The following is a 20,921-nucleotide window of genomic DNA, read 5'->3' as shown; positions in this document are numbered from 1 at the left end:
CTGAACAGCAGTGTCAAGCCTTTCAAATAGAGTTATCTTCGAAACGACAACACATGGAAGTCTGGTTGATACTTGGAGCTTAAATACAAGGCAATTGTGTACCTGCAAAAACAAAAATAGCAATATTATCCTTAAGATTTCAGCAAGACACAGTGTCTCATCACATAATCCAAAGAAGTCCAGGTTACAAGCCCCAAAATATTCAGCATTATGAAAAAACAGGGAGATCTTAATTCACATGGCAAAGAGAATCCTCGAATAACAATATTGAGAGGACACAGATGTCAAAATCATCTGACACATACTTTAAAGCAGATATTATAACAATGCTCCTAGAATCGGGGATAACATTGGTGAAGTGAATGGAAAGTTGGAAAGTCTAACCAAATATTTCGAATATATAAACACCAATTTAAACTTAAGAATTAAAAAAATGTATTAACCAAAACTCTTAGGGGAAATAAAAAGCTTAATTGGAGGATCTCCATAATAGAATGCAGAAGACTAAGGAAAAAGTCAATGAACTTGAAAACAGAACACGAATACCTACATAATCTGAACTATAGAGAGAAAGGAGGATTTTATTGTCTCTGAACAGAGGCTCAGGGACAAATAAAAAATAACAAATCCAACATTCACATTATTGTAATCTGGAAAGAAGAGGACAAAGTGGTCTTTGTGGGATAAAACTTTGAACAATTAATAGCTGAAAATGGTTCAAATTTGTCAAAAGATATAAACCAGATTTTTAAAGTTCAGTAAATGTCAATCAGGATAAACCCAAAGAAACCCATAGCAAGGCATATCATAATCAAACTGCTGAAAACTAAGAAAATACAAAACAATTTTGAAAGCAGCCAAAGGGAAATGAAAGAGAAACTACCATATGAATGATTGTAGATTTCGCATCAGGAACCATAGGGGCCAGAAAAAATGTCATAACATTCGGTAAGTAACAAAAGAAAAAGACATATCGACCCAGAATGCTATGTGGAGCAAAAGTATCTTCCAGACATAAAGGCAAATAAATGCATTCTCAGTGGAAGGTAAGTAAATACATTCTCATTCTTAGGAAGACTGCTGGAAAAGAATTGGCAAAGATTTGAGATAAGAAAAATGATACCAGAAGGAAACTTAGAACATCATCAGTGAAGGAACAAAAGCAGAAATAGAAAATGTCTGGGTAGACATAACAGACTATTATTCTTCCCTTGAGTTCCTTAAGGTATGTTTGATGATTGAAAGCAAAAATTGTAACTTTATCAGAAGCAGTTGTCATTATATCCAGATGTACTACATACATAAGATAAAAGGGTAAGTGTAATGGGACTAACTCTTGATGAAGTTTCTTTATTCAACTTGAATGGTAAAATATTGATTCTAAGTACACTGTGAAAGGTTATATATGTATATGGTAAACCCTAGACCACCTACTAACAAGATTTAAGTAAACCAAAACAAGATAGAAAGAGGAACATAGATGAATTAAAACAAAGGGAAACAAGGTTAATAAATTATTAAATAATAGACCTATCTAAAAACTTATCTATAATGACATTACATGTAAATAATCTAAATGCATTAATTAAAAACTAGAGATCATCAGAATGTGTTAAAAATAAATATGCTGACTAAAGAAAGCCACCTGCTATACACTTATATATAAGAATAAAAGTTATAGAGCAGATTGAAAGAAAAGAGTGGGAAAAGATACCTCATGCAAGCACTAATCAAAGACAGCTGTGGTGTATATATAAAAAATCAGGCAAAGTAGATTTGAAAGCAGAGAAACTTTTCAGGAATAATGAGGGCTGCTAAATAATTACGATTGTCAATTTTCCAGGGGAATATTGTCCCAAGTGTATATGAGAACACAGAGTTTCAAAACTCATAAAAAAAATTGGATACGCAAGGTAAAAACAGAAAAATCCAATTATAGTTGCCAACACTAACACTCCTCTCTCAGTAATTGGTAGACTTAGTAGAAAACAAATCAGCAAACATATTGGAGAATTAAACCATACCATCCAGTAATGGACCTATTAACTTCATAATGCAAAATAAAAATTTAGGTAGAAGGCAAAGACAAAAATTAAAAGAAAAGTAAGATCATGTCATAACCAGGAAATTAAGAGTAGTCCAGCATATAGAAGAGTGCTATTATTGGAAGAGTTATTTAGTTATTTTGAGACATTTTTTGAAAGAGTTATTTAGCTGGAAATGACAGAAAGACTGAAAATGGTGCATCTGGAGGTGGATCTTCCCTTGTCCATATTTATTTTGTCTTTTTTTGAGGTCTAGGGTGTCTATACTTCCTCTGAATTACCTACAGTGTCTGACACAGAGCATCTCCCCAGTGAATATGTACTAAATGAGTAGAAAGTAATTTATAGATTCAGAAGAGTTGTGCAAGAATAATGTTCATTATTTGACAAATCCTTGAATGTAGTGTTTGAAGGAAGACAATAAGTCAAAGTTGACTTGAAAGGTAAGCCCAAGTCCAGACTCTTTTCTGTAATCCCAGCACTTTGAGAGGCCAAGATGGGCAGATCCCGTGACACCAGGAGTTTGAGACCAGCCTGGACAACACAGTGAAACCCTGTCTCTACAAAAAATACAAAAATTAGCCAGGTGTGGTGGTATGCATCTGTAGTTCCAGCTACTCAGGAGGCTGAGGTGGGAGGATCACTTGAATCCGGGAGGCGGAGGTTTCAGTGAACAGAGATCGCACCGGTGCCTGGACAACAAAGTGAGACCCTGTCATAAAATAAAATAAAATAAAATAAAATAAAATAATAAAATAAAATAAAATAGTTAAACCCAGGCCGGGAGGGGTAGCTCACACATGTAATCACAGCACTTTGGGAGGCTGAGGTGGGCGGATCACCTGAGGTCAGGAGTTTGAGACCAGCCTGGCCAACATGGTGAAACCCCGTCTCTACTAAAAATACAAAAATTAGCTGGGCGTGGTGGCAAGCACCTGTAGTCCCAGCTACTCAGGAGGCTGAGACAGGAGAATTACTTGAACCCGGGAGACAGAGGTTGCTATGAGCCAAGATCTCACCAGTGCAGTACAGCATGGGTGACAGAGCGACACTCTGTCAAAAAAAAAAAAAAAAAAAAAAAAAAAAAAACTCCAAAAAGTAAGTAAAGAGGAGGTTTGGAATTAGATATTTGGTGTATGAATGAATGGGCTAAAGTGCAAAAGAACAGGCAGAATAACTGAGCTGGTACAGAGGAAAAAAATCACACTTAAAATCTAAAAATATCTGCTTCTCAATTTGGGCTTTCCCACTTAGCAGCTTTGGCACCTTAGAAAGAACACTTAACTTACCTGAGCTTCTATTACTTCTAAAAAGTGCATAAAGTGCAGGCTAAGACATAGTTTTTTGGCAAAATTCAGTCAGACTACATCAAGTAAACTCCCTAAGTCTCCTAGTATAATTCATGGCACAAAAACTGGGGAAAAAACAGGGAGGATATGATTATAAGTTCAGTTTGTGTTTTTTGTTGAGTGAATGTCTCCAGCCATAGAGATGCAAGTGTAGATACACAGTAAGAGTAGTATGAATGGCAGACACCTTGGAAGGCTATTTCTTCCTTCATTCATTCAGTTGGTCACTCAATGAACTATCATGAATTGAGCACTACCTCTGTTTCTTATCAACAAAGGAGACTACGGAAAAGAAGAGTGACTAAGATCTCTGAAGAAGGGAAAAGCTAGATGACTGGGCCACAAGAGGAAAAAAAGCAGCAAGACAGGTACAATTGTTTCTGGTCCCTCAAGCCAGAAGGTCCTATCATTATGTGAATACTGGAAACGGGTGGACTCCACCTGTCCTGAGTGGGGAATTCTTCCAGTGCAGCACTGGCTGATAAGGAGTGATTTCCAAGTAGCATTGATTGTGTTCTTTAAAAGCTAGGAATTGATAAAGCAGCAGTGCGTGGGAAATGAGATTTAATAATCTGGATCTCAGCTCTTAGGAACAGTTGCTCTCTTAGAGCAGCAGGCCGCCTGTCAATCTCGTATTCTGAAGGTCCTGAGTTTGAACATCAGACAAGGTACAGCTTTTGCCGCTCTTTCCGTTAAGGGAAATGAAATAGGTGTGATAAATAATGGAACACAAATGCTATGAGATAATGATTTCAAGACAGTCCAAATATTAGCTTAAAATTTAAAAATGAGCTTTCCTTTCTTTCTTTCTTTCTTTCTTTCTTTCTTTCTTTCTTTCTTTCTTTCTTTCTTTCTTTCTTTCTTTCTTTTTTCTTTCTTTCTTTCTTTTTCTTTCTTCCTTTCTTTCTTCCTTTCTTCTTTCTTTCTTTCTTTCTTTTTCTCTTTTTCCTTCTTTTGGCTTCTTAGTGGTTTGAATACAAGGCGTGGTGAAGAGATATAAATTACACAAGAAACTACAAGCTATGTCAATGTCTACCTCTCTAGCTGACAAGGGAAGCAGGGGAAATTTCTCTTCCAACTGTCTGCTCTGAAGGTCATCCAAACATAATTATCGGGTGGGGTGGGTGAACTCTTTTATTCTTTTAATCATCCAACAAATATTTCTCAAGCGCATACCTTGTTAAGAGACTGTTTTGGGTACAGTAATTCACAGTGAATAAAACACAGATATTCTCACCTTTGTGATACTACGTCATAGTTGCAAGGAGTGGGGAGAAACAGACAGGAAGCAAAGAAGAAAAACAAGAAGTCATGTGATGATATCTACTGGGAGGGACTCATTAGGCAGTAAAGGACTCAGCAGTGTGGAGGTGACACATTCAGTTTTCAGTAGAAGAGTCAGGGAAGTTGTCACTTTGAAGCTATCATTTAGCTTCCCTTTCTTTCAATCTTCTTTCTTTACATGGGAAATAAGGATTGTGGGATATTTTTGGGTGGATCACAGCACCTAGAGATGGATCTGATCAATAAGAACTGCTCAGTAAGCATTAGCTACTGCTTCGGTTGCCTTCCCCCTGTGGAGTGCTGGCCTCTTGGATTGAGCTTGCATCATAGGTGTTCAGTAGGAGCTTGCTTAGTGGATTTATAGGTTGAGGTTAGAACCCACTGGAATTCTCTTCCTGGAAAGAACAGGCTTCTCTTTAAGGTTTCATACAGACCCTGGGTGAGGAAAGAGCTCTAAATTGCTTGAAAAATTGAATGCTCTATGGGCAAAGCAAGAAGCCCTCCTATGGAAGGGCATTATTTGGGCCTATATCAGGGTCTCAGTAAAAACATGAGTGCTCAGGAAGTCAAGATGGTTAAGCAGAGAATCTGACCAGAATGTTCATGGTGCAAAGAAATAATCTTGTTGGGGGTAGGATTACAACAACTGGGGAATTAGAATACAGGCTAAATGAGATTCAAAAATAATACAACAAGAATCAGGCACAAATCCTTTACTACTACATTCTTTTGTACAAATCCATTTTGCCTAGAAAATCGTACCTTACTATACATCCCTATTGTGTTTCTCCACCATCTATTTTACTTTTTAAACTTTATTTCATTTTTATCATCACAGAAGTTTGTTGCTACAAAATAAATGAGCAAATCAACCAATGGCAACAAAACTGCACTGATATCTCTCCTTAGACCTTCAGAACATTTTCCTTAAAGGTGAACAATACTCCACGTTCAAGGACTTTTTCAGCACTATGTGCTAGAAACTATACTGACTGTTTATTAATTTTTATGTAAGTTGGTCGATATAGTTTCTCAGCTTCCCCAAGTATTATTACCACAGTATTATAGATGACACTGAAGCTCAGAGCAGTTAAACCATTTTCCTCAGATCACATAACTTTAAAGAGGGAAACCAGATATGGGAAGCAGATTTCTTTCTAAATGAAAAAATCATGAGCTCTTGCTTTCACTTAGCACATAGTCTCATCATCTGTTTTCTTCACACCAGCTCACTCATGTAACATTCATTCATTTACCAAATACAGATAAATAAGTGGATTTATTCTTGCATTCATCAGATACTAATTCAAAATCGCTTCTGTGTCTGCTACACTGTGCTCAAGACTTCCCAGTGCCTTTGTCTCCTCTCCCTCAAATCTCTCCACCCAATGTCTTGACAAATACTGTAGATTCTTCCTGCATAACCTCTCCAGAATCTTTTCCTTCTGTTATCCATGCTACAGTGTTTATGGAGGATGTTTTCTTCACCTATGAAGTGTGATGGGGGCTGAAGCTGCAGAAAGACTCATGCTGTTCACCTCAGGAGCTGACACAGTAAATGTGGATAAACCTCAATCCTTTAATATCTTTATGACTTCTTTCCCAGTTACCCCAGCAAATTTACAGATTGAGGTTAAAACCACAACAGGACTATCTTCCTGGAAAGAATAGGCTTCCCTTTAAGGTTTCACATAGATACTGGGTGAGGAAGGAGCCCTAAATTGCTTGAAAAATTGAATGGTCTTTGGGCAAAGCAGGAAGCCTTGCTATGGAAGAGCATCATTTGAACATAAATCAGAGTCTCAGTACAAACAGAGTGCTCAGGACATCAAGATGGTTAACCAGAGAGCCTGACCAGAATATCTGTGGTGGAGAGAAACGATCTTGTTGGGAGAAGGATGACAATAATTGGGGACTGTAGAGTAAAGGCTAAAAATGATTCAAAGAGAATGCAAAAAGAATCAGGCACACATCCTTTACTATACTCTGTTGTGCAAATCTCACCTTACTATGTGTTTGTATTCTATTCCTCCACAATCTTTATTTTATTTTATTTTTATGTTCACAGAGATTTGTTGGTGCCAACTAAATGAGCCTAACAGCCAGTGACAACAGAACTGCACTAAAAAAAGTCCCTCATCAGCTCTTGAGAGCAGGTTCCTTAAAGGTGAACAATATTCCACATACAAGGACTTTTTCAACACCATGCATTAGAAATGGAAGTGAATGTTTATTATTTTTTGTATAAGTTGGTTGATACGGCTTTTCAGCTTCCCTCAGTATCATTATCCAAATTTTGTAGATGACACTAAAGCTCAGAGGAGTTAAACCATTTTTCTCAAATCACATAGCTTTAAATAGGAAAACCAGATATGAAAAGCAGATTTTTTTCTAAATTAAAAAAAACAAAAAACAAAAAACTTGAGCTCTTGCTTTACCCTAGCACATAGTCTCACCATCTGTTTTCTCCACGCCAGGTCATTCATGTAACATTCATTCACATAACAAATACAAATAAATGAGTGGATTCATTCATCAGCTATTAATTCAGAATCTCTTTTGTGTCTACCACACTAGGCTCAAGACTTCCCAATGTCTTTGTCTCCTCTCCCTCAAATCTCTCCACCCAATGTCTTGACAAATACTGTAGATCCTTCCTGCACAACATCACCAGAATGTTCTTCTTTCTTTCCATTCACCTCTGTCATCATCCATGCTATGGTGTTTATGGAGGATGTATTCTGCAGCATGAAGTGTGATGGGCACTGACGCTGCAGAAAGACTCCTGCTGTCCACCTCGGGAGCTGACACGATAAATGCGGGTAAAACTCAATCATTTAATATCTTTATGACTTCTTTCTCTTACTCTTCAATTTCTATTTTCTCATGTTCAAGCTCTGACATTGAAAACTAAACACCTTTCTCTAACATGTTGCTTTAATTATTTAAGCATTCTGCCTGGGATTTTTTCAATTACTCTTGGGAGTTTTCATAAAACTCTCCCAACATATCTCCAAGTGGCCAGGCTTTTCAATCACTGCTTCCCTCCATGTGTATTTCACACACACACACACACACACAGCACTTAAATTGAACAGCTTTATTTCTTCACACAGGAATTCCTACAAACAGCCCGGTTTTCTCCACCATATGTCCACTCCTTCTCTGCATAGCTCAATTTTGATTCTTACACTCTAATATTTTACATATTCTTACACTCTGATATGATTTTGTCTCTTTATGGCTCTGCTCTGTAATTTTGTTGTTGTTGTTCTTAGATATAGTTGGACATGTAACTTGTACATGACACACCTTAGCAAGGAGGCAACCTATATCTCAGATGCAAGTGAAAGAAGCACTCTCCAGGGGTTTCCTAAGGTAGTGGTCAGCACGCTGGCTTCATTCCTGAGAGGGCCTAGTTATGAAAACAACAGGAGCTTTTTGCCTTCCAGAAATCTGTACCATCTCACAACCCCCAGAGAGTCTCAGCTACAAGGAACAAGTGATAATACTATCTCACTTTTATAAACACACACACACAACACACACACACAAAATCATTTAATCATTTTTAATTATTTAATCATTTTTTAAAAATCAGTGACACTTTAGATGGGCAGGTCTAGGCAGGGCCTCCTTTCCTGGAATGTGCCTTTTTCTGTCCCGGAATACCCTAAACTTGACATTTTGGCAGCGTGAGTTTTCCCTTTTTGACTTTCTCCTTGTTCCCTTTCCTCTTCCTTCTTTGCAGAGAATGAGTAGCCACTGCACCTTGCCCTGGGCCATCAGTGAGAAGATCTGCTCTTAGTAGAGCCCTGCTTTCCCGCTGAAGGCCCTGAAATCCCCTGTGTTCCAGGCCACCCACTAAGGATCAGTAAAGCTCCCCTGATGTGGGGGAATTAGCGCAAGTGGTAGAGTGCTTGCTTAGCATGCAAGAGGTAGTGGGATCGATGCCCACATTCTCCAAACTTTATTATTTAGACCCTGGGTCTCCAAACACTCAGGTCTCCAAACCCAAGTCAGAGAGCAGGATGCTGCTTTGGTTCAAGATGTAGGAGCAGCAACAATACAGGGCTGGTGACAGCTCCCTCCTGGCATTCAGTATAGTGTAGATCTACCGTGTAATTGATTTTCTGCTTCTTTGAGGAGCTGTGAAACCAAGGGACATAAACAATTGCTCTTTTCTCCCTGTTTCTGCCTGTAGCTTGAATGTGAGGCAACTGTGAAAAGTGCAGGGCAGAGCCACCTGGGTAAATACAGCCCTGGCTTTCTGGTGAGAGGACTGAAACCAGGATGTGTCAAGTAACTAGAATGTGCCTGGACAGATACTGTAGAAAGCAAACCCATAAAGTTGTTCATGAGCTTGTGGATGCACCTGCCAGCTGTGAATAAGTGGCTCTAATCCCAAACAACTTACCTAAAAAGAGCCTGAGGACTGAACTGAACAATGGTCCACTTTCCAGTCCTCACTGACCACTGGTTGCACACACTCCAGAGATCTCTCAACCGCAGTGTCAAGGCTTTCAAATAGAGTTATCTGTGAAACGACAACACATGGAAGTCTGGTTGGTACTTGGAGCTTAAATACAAGGCAACTGTGTGCCTGCAAAAACAAAAATATCAATATTATCCTTAAGATTTCAACAAGACACAGTGTCTCATCACATAATCCAAAGAAGTCCAGGTTACAAGCCCCAAAATATTCAGCATTATGAAAAACCAGGGAGATCTTAACTCACATGGCAAAGAGAATCCTTGAATAACAATATTGAGAGGACACATATGTCAAAATCATCTGACACATACATTAAAGCAGTTATTATAACAATGCTCCTAGAATTACGGGATAGCATTCATGAAGTGAATGGAAAGTTGGAAAGTCTCACCAAATATTTGGAATATGTAAACACCAATTTAAACTTAAGAATTAAAAAAAGTATTAACCAAAACTATTAGGGGAAATAAAATGCTTAATTGGATGATCTCAATAGCAGTATGCAAAAGACTAAGGAAAGAGTCAATGAACTTGAAAACAGAACAAGAATACCTACATAATCTGACCTATAGAAAGAAAGGAGGATTTTATTGTCCCTGAACAGAGGCTCAGGGACAAATAAAAAATAACAAATCTAACATTCACATTATTGTAATCTGGAAACATTCACATTATTGTAAGAGGACAAAGAGGTCTTTGTGGGATAAAACTGTGAAGAATTAATGGCTGAAAATATATCAAATTTGTCAAAAGATATAAACCAGATTTTTAAAGTTCAGTAAATGTCAAGCAGGATAAACCAAGAGAAACCCATTGCAAGACATATCATAATCAAACTGCGGAAAATTAAGAAAATACAAAACAATTTTGAAAGCAGCCAAAGGGAAATAAAAGATAAAATACCAAATGAATGATTGTAGATTTCTCATCAGGAACCCAGGAGCCAGAAAAAAATGTCATAACATTCAGTAAGTACCAAAGGAAAAATACATTATCAACCCAGAATGGTATGTGGAGCAAAAGTATCTTCCAGACATAAAGGCAAATAAATACATTCTCATTGGAAGGTAAATAAATACATTCTCAGTCCTAGCAAAACTGCTGGAAAAGAATTAGCAAAGGTTTGAGATAAGAAAAGTGATACCAGAAGGAAACTTAGAACATCATCAGTGAAGGAACAAAAGCAGAAATAGAAAATGTCTGGGTAGACATAACAGACTATTATTCTTCTCTTGAGTTCCTTAAGGTATGTTTGATGGTTGAAAGCAAAAATTGTAACTTTATCTGATGCAGTTGTCATTGTATCTAGATGTACTACATACATAAGATAAAAGGGTAAATGTAATGGGACTAACTCTTGATGAAGTTTCTATATTCAACTTGAATGGTAAAATATTGATTCTAAGTATACTGTGAAAAGTTATATATGTATATGGTAATCCCTAGACCACTTACCAACCAGATTGAAATAAACCAAAACAAGATAGACAGAGGAACATAGAAGAATTAAAACAAAGGGAAAAAAGGTTAATAAATTATTAAATAGTAGATCTATCTAAAAACTTATCTATAATAGCATTATACGTAAATTATCTAAATGCATTAAGTAAAAACTAGAGATCATCAGAATGTGTTAAAAATAAATATGCTGACTAAAGAAAGCCACCTACAATACACTTATAAATAAGAATAAAAGTTATATAGCAGCTTGAAAGAAAAGAGTGGGAAAAGATACCTCATGCAAGCATTAATCAAAGACAGCTGTGGTGTATATATATAAAATCAGACAAAGTAGATTTGAAAGCAGAGAAACTTTTCAGGAATAATGAGGCCTCCTAAATAATTATGATTGTCAATTTTTCAGGAGAATATTGTCCCAAATGTATATGAGGACACAGAGCTTCAAAACTCATAAACAAAATTGGATACGCCAAGTTAAAATAGAAAAATCCAGTTATAGTTGCAGTCATTAACACTCCTCTCTCAGTAATTGGAAGATTTAGTAGAACACAAATCAACAGACATACTGGAGAATTGAACCATGCCATCCAGTAATGGACCTATCAATTTCATAATGCAAAATAAAAATTCAGGTAGAAAGCAAAGACAAAAATTAAAAGAAAAGCAAGATCATGTTATAATCAGAAAATTAAGAGTAGTCCAGCATATAGAAGGGTGCTATTATTGAAAGAGTTTGAAATAGTGACTTAGTTATTTTGAAACATTTTTGAAGGCGTTATTTAGCTGGAAATGACAGAAAGACTGAAAATGGTGAATCTGGAGGTGGATCTTCCCTTGTCCATATTTATCTTGTCTTCGTTTGAGGTCTGGGGTGTCTGTACTTCCTCTGAATTACCTGATCTTACTACAGTGTCTGGCACAGAGCATCTCCCCAGTGAATATGTACTAAATGAGTAGAAAGTAATTGATAGATTCAAAAGACTTGTGCAAGAATAATGTTCATTATTTGACTAATCACTGAATGTGGTGTTTGAAGGAAGACAATGAATCAAAGTTGACTTGAAAGGTAAGCCCAAGGCCAGACGTGGTGGCTCATTTCTGTAATCCCAGCACTTTGGGAGGCCGAGATCAGTGGATCCCTTGACACCAGGAGTTTGAGACCAGCCTAGGCAACACAGTGAAAACCTGTCTCTACAAAAAATACAAAAATTAGCTGGGTGTGGTGGTATGCATCTGTAGTTCCAGCTACTCAGGAGGCTGAGGTGGGAGGATCGCTTGAACTCAGGAGGTGGAGGTTGCAGTGAACAGAGAACGCACCGGTACCTGGACAACAAAGTGAGACCCTGTCATAAAATAAAATAGTTAAACCCAGGCCAGGAGGGGTGGCTCATGCCTGTAATCCCAGCACTTTGGAAGGCCAAGGTAGGCTGATCACGTGACGTTAGGAGGTTGAGACCAGCCTGGCCAACATGGTGAAACCCCGTCTCTACTAAAAATACAAAAATTAGCCAAGCATGGTGGCAGGCACCTGTAGTCCCAGCTACTCTGGAGGCTGAGACAGGAGAATTACTAGAACCCGGGAGGCAGAGGTTGCAGTGAGCCAAGATCTTACCATTGCACTGCAGCCTGGGCAACAGAGTGACACTCTGTTGAAAAAAAAAAAAAAAGTTAAGCCCAAAAAGTAAGTAAGGAAGAGGTTTGGAATTAGATATTTGTTGTATGAATGAATGGGCTAAAGTGCAAAAGAACGGGCAGAATAACTGAGCTGGTACAGAGGGAAAAAATCACATTTAAAATCTAAAAATATCTGCTTCTTAGTTCAGGCTTTCCCACTTAGCAGCTTTGGCACCTTAGGAACACTTAACTTATCTGAGCCTCTGTTACTTCTAAAAAGTGCATGAAGTGCAGACTAAGACATAGTTTTTTTGGCAAAATTCAGTCAGACTACATCAAGTAAACTCCCTAAGTCTCCTAGTATAATTCATGGCACAAAAAATTGGGGAAAAAACAGGGAGGATATGATTATAAGTTCAGTTTATGTTTTTTGTTGAGTGAATGTCTCCAGTCATATAGATGCAAGTGTAGATACACAGTAAGAGTAGTATGAATGGGAGGCACCTTGGAAGGCTATTTCTTCCTTCATTCATTCAGTTGGTCACTCAGTGAACTATCATGAATTGAGCACCACCTCTGTTTCTTATCAACAAAGGAGACTGCGGAAAAGAAGAGTGACTAAGATCTCTGAAGAAGGGAAAAGCTAGATGACTGGGCCACAGGAGGAAAAAAAGCAGCAAGACAGTTACAGTTGTTTCTGGTCCCACTTTTATAAACACACACGCACACACACAGACACACGCACACACACAAAATCATTTAATCATTTTTAAGTATTTAATCATTTTTTAAAAATCTGTGATGCTTTACCTGGGCAGGTCTAGGCAGGTCCTCCTTTGCTGGGACGTGCCCTTTTCTGTCCCGGAATACTCTAAACTTGACATTTTGGCAGCGTGAAGTTTTCCCGTTGTGACTTTCTCCTTGTTCCCTTTTCTCCTCCTTCTTTGCAGAGAATGAGTAGCCACTGCTGTTTGCCCTGGCCCATCAATGAGAAGATCTGCTCTTAGAGCCCTGCTTTCCTGCTGAAGGCCCCGAAATCACCTGTGTTCCAGGCCACCCGCTAACAATAAATAATGCTCCCCTGATGTGGGGAATTAGCTCAAGTGGTAGAGCGCTTGCTTAGCATGCAAGAGGTAGTGGGATCGATGCCCACATTCTCCAAGCTTTATTATTTAGACATCGTGTCTCCAAACACTCAGGTCTCCAAACCCAAGTTAGTGTCTGAGAACAGGATGCTGCTTTGGTTCAAGACGTAGGAGCAGCAATAATAGAGGGCTGGTGATGGCTCCCTCTTGGCATTCAGTATAGTGTAGATCTACCATGTAATTAATTCTCTGTTTCTTTGAGGAGCTGTGAAACCAAGGGACATATACAACTGCTCTTTTCTCCCTGTTTCTACCTGCAGCTTTGTCCTAAATGTGAGACAATTATGAAAAGTGCAGGGCAGAGCCACTTGGGTAAATACAGCCCCGGCTTTCTGCTCAGGGGACAGAGTTTGAGGCACTGCAGAGGAACCAGCCAAAGTATGAGACCCATATGTTGAGAGTGACAGTGTAAAGTTCAAAAAAATCAAAATGTTTAAAGATTTATCATGGGTCTTGATGACATGATGGAATCTCTCTACTCTCTGGACTGATTATGTGTGGTAATAAATTTACTTTTTAAAAGCCAGTTGAGTGTTTTTAATGTTGTGGAGCTATTGCTAAGAGTTTCCTGAGTTTTTTCTAGTAATGTAGAGATCTTTGTGCTAAATATTTCATAAAGAAGTTTGGTGGGTTTTGTGTTCTAAATCCTAATCACTGGCATTAACTCAAACCAGCCATATAAAAGGTATGAAAAATGTCTGTCTGGCGTGCACTTGGTTCACTGAGCTTTTGCTTTCCTGTCAGCAAATTAGACATTCTCCTCACTTAGGAGGCCAACTTCTCAGCCACTGGCTCCAGCCTAGCCCTATGGTCTGTCAGTGGCTTTAGATTTAATTGACACATGCCCAGCCCCAACTCTCTCCTGCCTTAAGGATATAAGAGCCATTGTGAGCCACAAAGTTATTATATCCAAGAACCCAGAAAACCACTTTTGTATATAGCAGTCCGCTGTTTTTTCATTTAAACATATGGGTTGGAATAGCATAGGATCATACACCTGTGAGCCTACCTGTTTTACAAGTTAAAACTTTTTCCTGATTCTTGCAAGCATTTTTTCTCACTCAACCCTACATGCATGTGTGCATAATTTTAAGGTAAAATTAGTTTTTGTAGACACTGAATGTGCTGCCCTCAAGGAATATTACAATGGAGTAGGGAAGACAGTTGAGCAAACAGCTGTTTACAATTCTGATAAAAGTCACAATTGAGATGAATACTCTGTACACTAAAAGTACAGAAAGGAACACTACTCTTGAGAATGAGTAGCCTGATAGGATTTGCCAGTGTTTCTGTTATTTCATTTGTTCATACCGGTCCCTGACACCTGGTTTCCTTTTCAAGCAACAAAATCCTAAAATCTCCATCATCTGCTGCTTTCACGTTCCTCACCACTGAGGTCAAGGACCCGAGGCTGGCAGGAAATTGAACGAATGACACTTCAAGAAGACCATGAATCTTTTCATTTTTTTCAGCTGGAAAGCTGAGAGCAGACAAATGGCAGGGAGGCCAAGTGCTATCAACCACATTTAGAAATTTTATTTAATCTGCACATCTTAATTTGGTAGAAAGTTTTACAAATAAAATTTAACACAAAACAATTTTTTTGAAAAACCATGTTGACTTAAGCAGAGCCAATGATGCAAAGCATAATGTATCAGAAGATTCCTGATTCAACTGCTAGCTTGAAGTCCCCCCTACTTGTGTTCTGGAAAGATGGGGTGTTGTTTATCATCCACATATCAAAAAGTAAACAGCAATATTTCTGAAACCTTTTCTTTATAAGGAGATCTTCATAAAACTTGCATTATTACTCTTGTTGGATCATAACACACCTGAGAAAGATTGGGTGGAGGAAGGTGAAGAAGGCTGGAAAAGATTTACAAGGGAATAAATCAAGAATCTGGTACAAATTGACTAATGGTATCTTCTGCATCTGCCCATTTCGAGTGAAAAGTCCCCCGTTTTAGAACTTTTGGCTCTTTGTTTTAATGCTCCCTCCTGAGAATTAACAAAAATTTTGATTACTCTGGGCACGCTACCAGATTAGCCCTGCTCCGCAAGGAGCAGTTATATATATATAATCACACACACACACACATTTTTCAGGGAATCCTGCCTAATTTCTTCCGAAGTTCAGCTGTCTCAGTTCACACCAAACAAGTTACACGATTTCATAACGGATAGAGGACAGAAGCTTAAGGAGGGAGGGCCGAATGCACCGGGAACCCTAGTCAAGTGTAGGAAATCATCACGAGCGAGGCGAAGCAGGTCGTGGGAGACGAGACCTTCACTCAGGAACGGGGACGATGTGAATCGTGTTTCTATCGAGTGGCTGGGGGACCGGGTTGGGATCAGCCAGGAGGAGGTAGCCGCACAAGGCTTAGCTGGGTCTCCCGCGCAGACATCTCCTGGACAGCGACGCAGCGCCGCGCAGGCGCTCACTGCCCGGCTCCAGGGCTGCGGGTGGCGAGTCCCTGCCTGCCCGGCGCTCGCCCTCGGGGAAGGACGGACGCCTCGCGACGGCCGCGGACGCACCAGCGCAAGTGGTTCCTTGGAATCTCCCCCATGTAATTCCACATGAGATTAAATTTTTAAAGCGCCTCATACTCGTGACCATCTAGCAACCATTCAGTGGCTGAATCCTCAGACAGGCACTCTGCATCCCCAGAGCCTAGGGGCATGCCATATGCCCCCACATAAAGATTTGTTGAATGAATGAAGGTGTCTAACTCCATTGTCTTGCCCTATTAAAGATGTATACTTTCTCTGCCTAGACCATTATGGTAATACCCTGACCTTCCTCATGATCTTTGCACTCAATTCTCAACTCTGTGCCCTATTGGAATGGTACTGAAATGCAAATTCAGTTACAGTGTCTCCTAAATTCATTTACCAGCAAACTTTGCTTACAGTGCTTAAACATTTTATCCTGACATTCAAAGCCCTTCATAAAAAGCTGGCCTCTCTCGCAGCTTTACTCCTGGAATTCAATCCTATGCACACTCTCAGAAAACAAAATCATTGTTAATTCACCTTCAAAACCTGTTGTTTTATTCTTCTGAGACTTTGCAAATACCTTTGAGCAAGGCATCTGGATAGCTCCTCATTTTTAAATGTAACTGTGGATACCTTGAGTGGAGATGGAAAGAAAAGGGAAGCTGAAGGATAATGGATTGTAAAAATTCATGCTTTCTCATTCTTGTCTGGTTTGATAATCAGTGCCTAGAAAGGAGTCAAAGAAGGTTTTCTTTATATATCTTCTAAATAACACAAAACCTAGCTCTGCATTAAAGCCTTAGAATTCGTTTCTGGGATTAATTAAAAAAGCAGTAGATTTCAGGCTGTCATATTCAGATTCCCACAGATGTTGCAGCCACAATGCAGAATACTAACCACTATAGGATCATGACAGGCCACTGGGAAAAGCTGATGACTTCTATTTATTACAAATTTGTCATGCCAATTGCCTTTTCATCAAACCAGTAATAGCTCAAAAGGGCATACTTTATGATTACAAAGTAGAAATAACTTTGCAAAATCTTCATGGGTAGATGAATCTTGCTTATTTTCACCTGTGGCTAATTATCTTGCTCATTCCAGAAAACCAGAAAGGCTCACAGCTTGCCATCTTATCTTAGTTTAAGAATTCCTTTTGAACTTACCCTGTGAAAGAAAACACACAGAAGAAAGCTTTCCCTCTGCATGTCACTGATTTCTGAACAGGAAAATACAAGAAAAGTATTATCATAACTGTAGACACTGGGTATAAACTGGGGGGTCTAGATTGTCAGCTTTTCAAGAAGCTTATATTCTAGGGGAGAGATAGAAAATAAAACAATAATTTAATATGTTTTCCAATTTATTAAAAATTTTATTTAAAAGATGGAGAGAGAGACAGGACATTGATTCAGCTGGAGAGGTCAAAGAAGGGCTCTCTGAGACAGTGACATTTGAGTTGTGGCCTCAGTGTTGAAAATGAGTCCACTGTTCTGGGTCTGGAGCAAAAGTGGTGGAGTTCAGAGGCGGACAGCTGGGGTCTGGGCCTCTGTGGGCAGCCAGAAGACGAGCCAATAGAGTACCCCACTTACCAGACTGACGGCAGAGCCAAATATGAAAATGTTCTTTTTTCTCAAGCCTCGAGACTGCACTCCAAAGTCCCAAGCAATCAAGGAAACTCCATTTCCAGTTCCTTGTTGTCTCTAAGGCATAGGCTCAAAGTGAAGCAGACTTTTCCTGAGGTGAAATGCAGAGACAGTCCCACTGCTCAGCTCAGTGTGGATCATGACCTTCCTGCCCTTCCCTTCTAGCTCACCCTCACCAGATTCTGAGGACTGATGAGGAAGGAATTGCTTTACAGCATTTTCTGCTGAGCATTTATTGCATGATTAGGTCAATCTCCAGCTCACTGTGCACTTACAGAAAAAAAAATCTACCAGGTTTCATGTGTGACCTTGAAAAATGTCCTCATTTCTTCTGTTTGTAATTTAGTAGGTTATCCAGAGGAATTTTCCCTGGATGTTATTACATTAAACAGTAGACAGAGTACTGCAAAGGTGAGGCCCAAGGCAGATGGAAATAACCACAGTTAACTGCCTGCTGCCACATACACCCTATTCCTGATCTGCCTGTGAGACTTTTTTCTAAGGATTTAGTTTATGCCAAATGTTTCATTCCCTGACTCTGGCTTTCTCTCTGTCTGTCATCTCCAGTGTCAGATATCAGCCTTTCTTATTTTTGAGGCTAAATCTCCACATAAATCTCAGTCTCAATTAGCAAAAAGCTCTTCCCATCACCACTAAAATAACCTTATTTTGGGCCCAGAGTATGGGGAATGGATGTCTGCTCCAACCCTCTGTAATGCAGCCTGCATTCTCTTGGTTTTCTTTACCTTTTACAGTCCTTTACTTGGAGTGTTAGTGAAATAATTGCCAAGCCCAACCTGTACATGCCCAATGAAGAAAGAACCAAAAACCCGAACATCCATTACTATCTACATTTGAACCTCTGAATAAGTGGAATAGTTCTTCTATTTATCAGACATTAATTCAGAATCTCTTCTGTGTCTGCCACCCAGGTTCAAAACTCCCAATTGCCCTTGACTTCTCCTCCCTCAAATCTTTATACTTAGGGTGTTTATAGATACTGTAGAGCCTTCTTATACAACCTCTCCAGAATATTCTTTTCCCATTTGTCTGTTCCTTCATCCATTCTACAACATTTATTTAGAGTGTATTTTGAATTAGGTGCTGATGATGAAGAAAGACTCATGCTGTTGACCTCAGGACCTGACAGAATAAATGAGGATGAACCTGGATCCTTAATTTTTTAAATAATTTATTTCGCTTTCTCTCCAATTCCAACCTCTTTAAAATTCACAACTAAAATCCTCTTCCTAAAATGTTACTTTGATTACATAAGCCATCCGCCTGGAGTTAATCCTCTCCTCAATATATCTGCAAATGTCTAGGCTTTCCCAACACTATTTCCATCAATACGCATTTTACAAACATACACACACACCCCCACCAATTAAATAGGTATGTCCCACATACACACTAAAAGATTTCTATACCATCACTGTTCTTTCTGTCCTGTGTGCCATCTTCATCTTCATTTCTCAGCTATATCTATTTATATTTCTTCTCTTTAATATGGCCTTGCCCCTTGCCACCTTTCTGTAATACATTTCTGGTTTTTTGCTATTCACTTATATGGTATGGTTATGTGACTACATATGAAATACATAAACAGGGATTGAAATTTAAGTTGTTATAAGTTTAAAATAGCCGGTTATAGTTATATAATTATAAAATGTTTTAGGTAAACCTCACGATAACCATGAGACAAAAACCTATAGTAAATCCACAAAAGATAAAGAGAAACAAATAACGCATACTACCACAGAAAATAATTGAATCACCAATCAAAACAGTAAGAGAGGAAGAAAGGAACAAAAAACCCTAAAAAACGACCAGAAAATACTTAACAAAATGTCAATACTACGTCCTTAACTGTCAATAATTGCCGTCATGTAAATGGATTAAATTCTTCAATATAAAGATATAGAGTGGCTAACTGGATTTTTAAAAATATATCCCAAAAAAGACCCAACTACATGCTGCCTACAAGAAATTCACCTCACCTTTAAGGACACACAGATTGAAAGTGAAGAGGTGGGAAAAGACATTCTGTGCAAATGGAAACGAAAAGAGAGCAGATATACTTATATCAGATAAAGTAGACTTAAAGTCAAAAATTGTGAAAAGAGAGAAAGGGGTCTTTATATTATGATAAAAAGGTCGATTCATCAACAGGATATAACAATTATTAATTTATATGCACCCAACATTGGAGCACCTAAATATAGAAAGCAAATATTCATAGATCTAAAGAAAGAGATAGACTGCAATAGAATAATATGAGGGGACTTCAGTCCCCCACTTTCAACTATGAACAGATCATCCAGAGAGAAAATCAATAGAAAATATTGGACTTGATATATACGTTAGACTAAATGGACCTAACAGACATATACAGAATATTCCACCCAACAACAGTAGAATGTCACTTCTATTTAACATGGTGCTGGAAGTCCTAGCCAGAATACACATTCTGGTCAGGTACACATGAAACACTCTCCAGGACAGGCCATATATAAGGCCACAACATGAGTCTTAACAAATTTGAGAAGACTGAAATCATATCAAGTATCCTTTCTGACCACAATGGCATGAAACAAGAAATCAACAACAGGAGGAATTTTTGAAAATTCACAACTATGTGGAAATTAAACAACATGCTCCTGAACAACCAATGGGTCAAAGAAGAAATCATAAGGGAAATTGAAAAAATACTTTGGGACAAATGAAAATGGAAATACAATATACCAAAACTTACAGGATACAAGAGCAGTTCTAAGAGAGTTTTCATCAAAAAAGATGAAAGATCACAAATAGACTACCTAGCATCCATTACACCTCAAGGACTGGAAAAACAATCAACTAAGCTAGTTACAAAGTTAGTAGGAAGATGGAAATGATAAAGATCAGAAGAAGTAAACAGAAGATAGAAAAAATAGATCAACCAAACTAAGAATTTTTTTTAAAGGTAAATAAAATTTACAAACCTTTAGCTAGACTGATTAAGAAAAAAAAATGCAAAGACTCAAATAAAATCAGAAATGTAATCAGAAATGAATTGAAGAGGTAACAACTGTTACCACAGAAATACAAAGGATTATTTAAAAACTACTATGAACAATTATATGCCAACAAATTGGATAACCTAAAAACTGGATAAATTCCTAGAGACATGCAACTTGCAAGACAGAATCAGAAACCCTGAACAGAGCAAAAACAAGTAAGGAGATTAAATCAGTGATAAATCTACCATCAGAGAAAAGCCTAGGACCTGACAACTTCACTGCTGAATTTGATGAAACATTTAAAGAGGCAATACCAGTTCTTCTCGATCTCTTTCAAAAAACTGAAGTAGAGGAAATACTCCCAAACACATTTTACAAGGCCAG

At 38.4% G+C, this 20,921-nt stretch overlaps 1 long non-coding RNA gene and 1 other non-coding gene across 2 annotated transcripts; both read left to right on the top strand.

The window, feature by feature from the left end:
• Positions 1-3,099: 3,099 nt before the first annotated feature.
• On the top strand, positions 3,100-13,919 carry LOC101927268 (uncharacterized). The gene is made up of 4 exons (XR_007059623.1): positions 3,100-3,762; positions 6,747-6,845; positions 8,430-10,419; positions 13,199-13,919. It is a non-coding gene; the product is annotated as an uncharacterized LOC101927268 (long non-coding RNA).
• On the top strand, positions 13,337-13,409 carry TRA-AGC12-3 (tRNA-Ala (anticodon AGC) 12-3). Its single transcript has one exon. It is a non-coding gene; the product is annotated as a tRNA-Ala (tRNA).
• Positions 13,920-20,921: the final 7,002 nt, after the last annotated feature.

The sequence above is a fragment of the Homo sapiens genome, chromosome 6 (assembly GCF_000001405.40).
Source record: "Homo sapiens chromosome 6, GRCh38.p14 Primary Assembly".
Taxonomy (NCBI): domain Eukaryota; kingdom Metazoa; phylum Chordata; class Mammalia; order Primates; family Hominidae; genus Homo; species Homo sapiens.
Note: the sequence above shows the minus strand (reverse complement) of the source record. Positions and strands in the feature narration are given on the sequence as shown.